The 6,922-nt window shown below is 37.2% G+C and overlaps 1 annotated feature.

Moving 5' to 3' along the window:
- Positions 1,404-2,644: an enhancer, noted in NCBI's record as "VISTA enhancer hs878". NCBI's record gives its function as "enhancer in: limb[9/10] | tail[6/10]" and the evidence as "EXISTENCE:transgenic organism evidence [ECO:0001131][PMID:17130149]".

A 6,922-nucleotide genomic window follows, 5' to 3' on the forward strand; every position in this document is an offset into this window, starting at 1 on the left:
AAATGTTTTGCAGCCTCCCTCTCAGAGGTGGTATTGCCTGAGCTTAGCGCTTTTGTCAGTAGGAAAAGAAATTTGAGGAGCATTGGTCTCTCCAAGAATTGTTGGACCAGATAGTAGTTGCTATGTCCATTGGGCCACCTCAGAGGGAGGAGGCTTGTGACACAGATATTAACATAAAATTTCTACTTGATGTATCAATCCCCAGTCAAACACTAGAACAATAATTATTTTTAAATTGAAAAATAATTGACATTTTTTCTCCTGCATCATATGTGTCCAAGATTATTTGATTGAGATGTAAAAACTATTTCAGATTCCCAAATGATTCAAGTTTATCCATACACACAAATTGAAATGCAGAAAAAGGGGACTTAGCCAGATAAATCATCCTTGCCATCCCCGTCATCTTTTAGCATAGTGATTTAAAAAAACACAGGTTCTCAAGTCAGACTATCTGAGTTCAAATACCAGCTCTGTCACTTAATTTCTTGGGCAAGCCATTTAAATTCTCTTCCCTAAATTGACCATCTGTAAAATGTGGATAATGATTTTATCTACCTCATAGAGTTGCTGGAACATTAAATGAAATCATTCTTATATAGTACTCAGAGCAGTGCCCTGGAACATAACAAACACTCAAAAATGTGAGCTGATATTACAATAGATAATTATATTGCATTTATTCAACAGTGAACCCATTTTGGAATTATTTTATTGAATTTCTAAGCCTAAATACAGAAACTGAGGTTTCTACCTTTGGGAAGTTTATGTTTGAGGACTGACTACTGATCTTGCATATGGTGGTCTGGGTACTCAATAGAAGCAGTGACTCATTCTCTAATAACGCCCTCATCAGTACAATCCAGCACAGATGACAACACTGACTGGTACTTGGGCAATCATTTTTCTGCCTATATCCCTATCACTGTGAACAGGAATCACACTTTCTCATTATTGTTTCCATGCACATTATCCTTACAACTTCATAAGCTTGTTGAGTTGAGTTTCGAGTGCAAAACTTGTGCAGTTGCACAGAGTCCCACAGTCAAATGGTTTCCATGCTTGGCTTAACACTCTGCTGTGGCTGTCAAGAAATTCTTAGTAACTTTTGCACAACAGAACCTGCATTTTACTTTGCAGTTGGCCCCACAAAATAACTAGCTGGTCCGGTCTGGGACCATGTCTTTTTCATCTCTGTAACTTCAGGAACAGTGCTAAAAGCTTGCCAAACATGAACAAATGAATGAATTAAATACATACATGAATGAATGAATGACACTGAAAACAGTGAACAAGTGCATTTCTTTTTCTCTTAAAGGAACAACAAGGGCCAAGGCACAACCCCATAAAGGAAACAACTTCTAAGCATCTAAGGTTGCCTTGTTGCCAACCTTCCAACTGCACCATGAGTAGGGCATCACCTTACTGGGTTTTAACCATGGTGCTCTCACCAGTGTTAATGGACACTAGAAAAGGGAATTGATGGCAGGCCCGAGCAAGGCCTGAAGTATTCATTTTGATAACTGGATTCAGTCACATTTACTCCTTAAAGGTTATTAGTTATTTTAAATAATTTTGTTAAATGCTTGAGAGGGAAAATGAAGACATATTAATAAACACACAATTATACAGGTTAGAGCAACAATGCAGTGCTGGTCATTCAGGAACCCTGTGCTAATTTTAATTAGCTGCTTTCCCTTGCTTTCAAATGTAATTAAAGGAGCTTAGTTGTGCTCAGTGATGCAAGCCACCTTACTTAATCACTAACATTATTTCCCTGAACTATTAATGATTTTCAAAACGCTTGTTTATGCAGAATTAGAACAGTAATTACCTTACCAGTTAATTTTGTACCTTCACATTTCACACCTAGCTCAAACGTCATTCATTTACCATGGCTTCTCTGTCAAAACAAAGAAATGCTTGTTCTAAATGTGCTTCTGAGTGCCAAATTGAAAGCCAAGTTTTGTAACACTAATAAAGTAGCTCCCAAGTGAAACAGGTGTAGTAATTTAGACCCTTCCTGTCTCGAGCTTGCACGTACATGCTATGTCTTTTCTTTATTAGCTTTAAAATGAGAGCTTGGTGTGCAAAATAAGCTATTTAATTCAGACTTGTGGAGCAGAATATAATCTTTAATTTAAACTAGTGCAGTAAAAAGAGGCCTTTAATTTTAACTGGCATGTGCGTGTGAATTTGAATTAATAATCCAGAAAATTGAAACCGTTTTGCTGCTGTTGCTGGATATTGACTGTTCTTCACATGCCCTTAGTTTCACTCACTCGTTTTCTCTCCGAAACCATGGCTAGTGCTTTTCTTCCCATCTTTTTTTTCCCTTATGATGTAGCTGCTTTATGCAAAGCAGAGCTTTCTGAAAAAGAAAGTCTCAGTTGACTGAACTTCCTTTCCCAAAAAACGCCTTTAATAAAAGAATACTAAATATGTATTAATGTAGTTTACAAAAAGAATATAATTGGTGTGTTCATTATATCTACTTAAGACATAATTCAAGTGTACTCTGAATTTATGCCTGATTGAATCCTGGATGGGAAGACAATCTACCCACATTCCCAGTGACAAAACTTCACTGAATCCAAGTGTACTAATTCCTACTCTGAAGATTATTTCCAAATCGGGAGCAACGTTTTAGGAAATATTGGCAACAACAATTAAACCTATGATGCTACGTTGACTATGATTTGATAGAACTCCTTCATACTCATCCTCAAAGACCTCACATGAAGATTGCTTAGCTGGAGAGCCTCCAGGTATTATGTTAACCCTAACTGAGCTTCCACTTCCCTGCATCCTGGAAACACTGAACATGTGTACCACACAATTAGCTCTTAGCACTATGCATTAATTCCTCCATTAAGGCAGGACATTTTTAATTGACAACACACTTCTTTGTTAAAACTTATTTCCCAGATTTTCAACACCTGGGGGTTAGAGCCATGTCCTTTAGGTAATATTTGCATGTGATTGGGTAAATGTCCAAGATGGAAATTAATACTAAAGACATAAATGTGCAGTGTCAAATAGGTGGGGCTATGGTGCAAAAGTACACTGAACTGAAAGAATGTCAAGAGTATTAGACAATATAAAATGTATATTTTAGAGTAGAGAAAGGAAGGGAATAATTTGGTTAGGATTTGGAGAGTTACTGGTTATATCTGATATGCATTTAGAATAGAAAGGGAAGAGAAAGGGAAAAGCAGAAAAGGCAGGAAAGCTTGGGCAGGCTGGAATATTTGGGCTCAAACAATATCATTGCAATCTCTGAATGGAGTTGTGATGAATACACAGAGCAAAGAAGCTTCACTGGTCATGTCTTCAGCAGGAATAGCCAAGTTCCCCATGAGAGAGAAGAGTGCTGTTCTAGGGTGGTGGGGAAGACCACCCCTAGTGGAGAAGACCATTGATGGAATCCCAAATAGCCCCAGTACCCACCAAGACAAATATAAATAGATGATAGATAAATAGACACCCAGACAAAAATAGATATGCATTTATGTAAATGTCTATACCTTTTTGCTAGTTCATGAAGCTCTTTTAATAGAAGGCAAAGCTTTTCATTAATGAAAGCTTAAAATATAAATCGTTAGAAGGGAATTGTCTATGAAGGTAAGACTCATTCACATCAGAACGCAACAGTCAACATGTGTACATAACAATCCTGTGTGATATCAGCAGGTTGGCTACAGAAAGAAGATATGTGCTGACACAATTTGATGTTGTCCAGAAACTGAATGCCTTTATTCCTGCCTGGTGCATAGTTTGTCATAAAGAAACTCCATTTCCAGCAGATTTATTAATAAAGGTAGAACTGTCAGGTGTGATGGCTCACGGCTATAATCCCAGTGCTTTGTGAGGCTGAGGTGAGAGGTTAGCTTGAGCCCAGCAGTTCAAGATCAGCCTGGACAACATAGTGAGACTCCCATCCCTATAAAAAATAATTTTTAAGAAAAAGTCAGATATGATAATGCACACCTGTATTTCCAGCTACTCAGGAGGCTGAAATGGGAGGATTCTTTGAACCTGGGAGTTCAAGGCTAGAGTGAGTTATGAACATGCCACTGAACTCCAGCCTTGGTGTCAGAATGAGACCCTGTTTTTAAAACATAAAAATATTTTTTGCCCACTTTTTGATGTTTTTTGTTCTTGTAAATTTGTTTAAGTTCCTTGTAGATTCTGGATATTATTAGCCCTTTTTCAGATGGATAGATTGCAAAAATTTTCTCCCATTTTGTATGTTGCCTGTTCACTCTGATGATAGTTTCTTTTGCTGTGCAGAAGCTATTTAGTTTAATTAGATCTCATTTGTCAATTTTGGCTTTTGTTGCCATTGGTTTTTGGTCTTATTAAAGACTTAAGTCTTTAATCCATCTTGAGTTATTTTTTGTATAAGTTATAAGGAAGGGGTCCAGTTTCAGTTTTCTGCATATGGCTAGCCAGTTTTCCCAGCACCATTTATTAAATAGGGAATCCTTTCCCCATTGCTTTTGTCAGGTTTTCTCAAAGGAGACATTTATGAGGCCAAAAAACATATGCAAAAAAGCTCATCATCACTGATCATTAGAGAAATCCAAGTCAAAACCACAATGAGATACCGTCTCACGCCAGTTAGAATGGTGATCATTAAAAAGTCAGGAAACAACAGATGCTGGGGAGGATGTGGAGAAATAGGAACACTTTTACAGTGTTGGTGGGAGTGTAAATGAGTTCAACCATTGTGGAAGACAGTGCGGTGATTCCTCAAGGATCTAGAACCAGAAATACCATTTGACCCAGCAATCTCATTACTGGGTATATACCCAAAGGATTATAAATCACTCCACTATAAAGACACATGCACACACATGTTTATTGCAGCACTATTCACAATAGCAAAGACTTGGAACCAACCCAAAGGCCCATCAATGATAGACTGGATAAAAGAAAACATATATACCATGGAATACTATGCAACCATAAAAAAGGATGAGTTCATGTCCTTTGCAGGGACATGGATGAAGCTGGAAACAATCATTCTCAGCAAACTAACACAGAAACAGAAAACCGAACACCGCATGTTCTCACTTATAAGTGGGAGTTGAAAAATGAGAACACATGGACACAGGGAGGGGAACATCACACAGTGGGGCCTGTCGAGGAGTGGGGGGCTAGGGGAGGGATAGCATTAGGAGAAACACCTAATGTAGATGACGGGTTGATGGGTGCAGCAAACCACCCTGGCACATGTATACCTATGTAACAAACCTGCACGTTCTGTGCATGTATCCCAGAACTTAAGGTATAATAAAAATAAATAAATAAAAATAAAGGTATAACTACAATTATATATAGTCTTGCTTTTATTCCTTGGATTTTGGTCATATCTTCCCAGACTGGGTTATGTCTCCCCAGAAAGGCTGGATTCATGTTGTATACACCTGTCTCCTCTTTAGAGATAAGTACTGTGCTCAGTAAATAAAAACTTGGTAGTATTGATGTATTATTTGTAGCACTGGCTAAAGAAAGCTTAAATTTTACCAGACTTTCCAAGATGCTTAATGCAGCTCTGAGTAAATATCAGCATGGGGATCCCCTTAGTCTGCGTCATGGCTGTCCATTGTACATACAGTTTCACTCAGCAAACATTGACTACATGCTTACCATGTGCCAGGCATTGTGCTAAGCTGTGAGAAAACAAAGATTAGTGATACCCCACCCCTGCCCCTAGTGAGGTAGAAAGACACACCAGCAAATAAATTAAACATGATGTGTTGTGAATCACAGAGGGAAAAAGAACCTCTTAGAATAGACTGTTACCAATTCTCAAAAAGATCTCTAGGGATATTTGTGAAATTTGTATTTTGTTTCATGTTGTGGCTTTATTCCTTACTGTAATATTGTTCTAGAAGACCACTGAGGATTTTTTCAGTTCCAAAATGTTGGCCAAGCTTTCCATAAGTCAAACTGGAATACATTCTACTCTATATCCATTTTCAATTATTAAAATTCTCTTTCTTGACCATGAAAAACAGCTAGTCTTAACTGCATATCTAAATTTTTTAAATTAATTTTAAGACAATAATTAAGTTAATCATTAGCCTTTTCTTCTCTAGAATAAAACATTCAAGTTACAGTAGACTTCCTTCATAAAGGCTATTTCTCAAACTTAATAAATATAATTAATAAGTATAAAGTATACTTTGCTAAGTGTACAACCTTCAAATTACTTTCTATTTTTCTGTATCATTTTTCTTTTATTTCTCTTTATTTTTCTTGCCTGTCTCTCATTTCCTCTAAGCATATGGTCTTATAAGACATTCTGCATAGAATATGAAGGCCAATAAAACCAATCCTTGCCCATAAGGGTCTTAACAGCTCTGTCAGGAAGACAGTGTAAATGATATGTTACTAAACTAACCACAAATAAAGTACTTGGGAGTATAGAGTGAATAAAAATGAAAAATCAGAAAAAGACTGACGGAGGATCGGATAGGTTTAATTTCCACAGAAAGAGGAATTGGGAAAATGCATTCAGGAAAAGAAGCCATATACGCAAGAAACAGAGAGACACAAGAAAGCATTTGGTGTGCTTAGGGAATTCCAAATAATAATTATCATTAGGAAGATGCAGTAGGACATCAAATGATTGTAATGGAAGATAAGGCTGGAAAAGCAAGTGGAAGTCAGAGGTTGGATGCCCTTGCATGCCACGCATTAGTGGTTGGACTCTTCTCTAGGGCAATATAGAACCACTGAGTACTTTTGAGCAGAGGAGGAAAATCAGTGAAGAAAAAAACAAATTAGTCTCCTTGCCTCCTAAAGGTAAAGTGGATAAAGCATGAGCTTTGAAATTAGGAATACCTAGTTAAAATTCTGGCTTTTCCATTCGCTAAATGTTTAATCATGTAAACATTTCTTAAACTCTTTC

The sequence above is a fragment of the Homo sapiens genome, chromosome 1 (assembly GCF_000001405.40).
Source record: "Homo sapiens chromosome 1, GRCh38.p14 Primary Assembly".
NCBI lineage: Eukaryota > Metazoa > Chordata > Mammalia > Primates > Hominidae > Homo > Homo sapiens.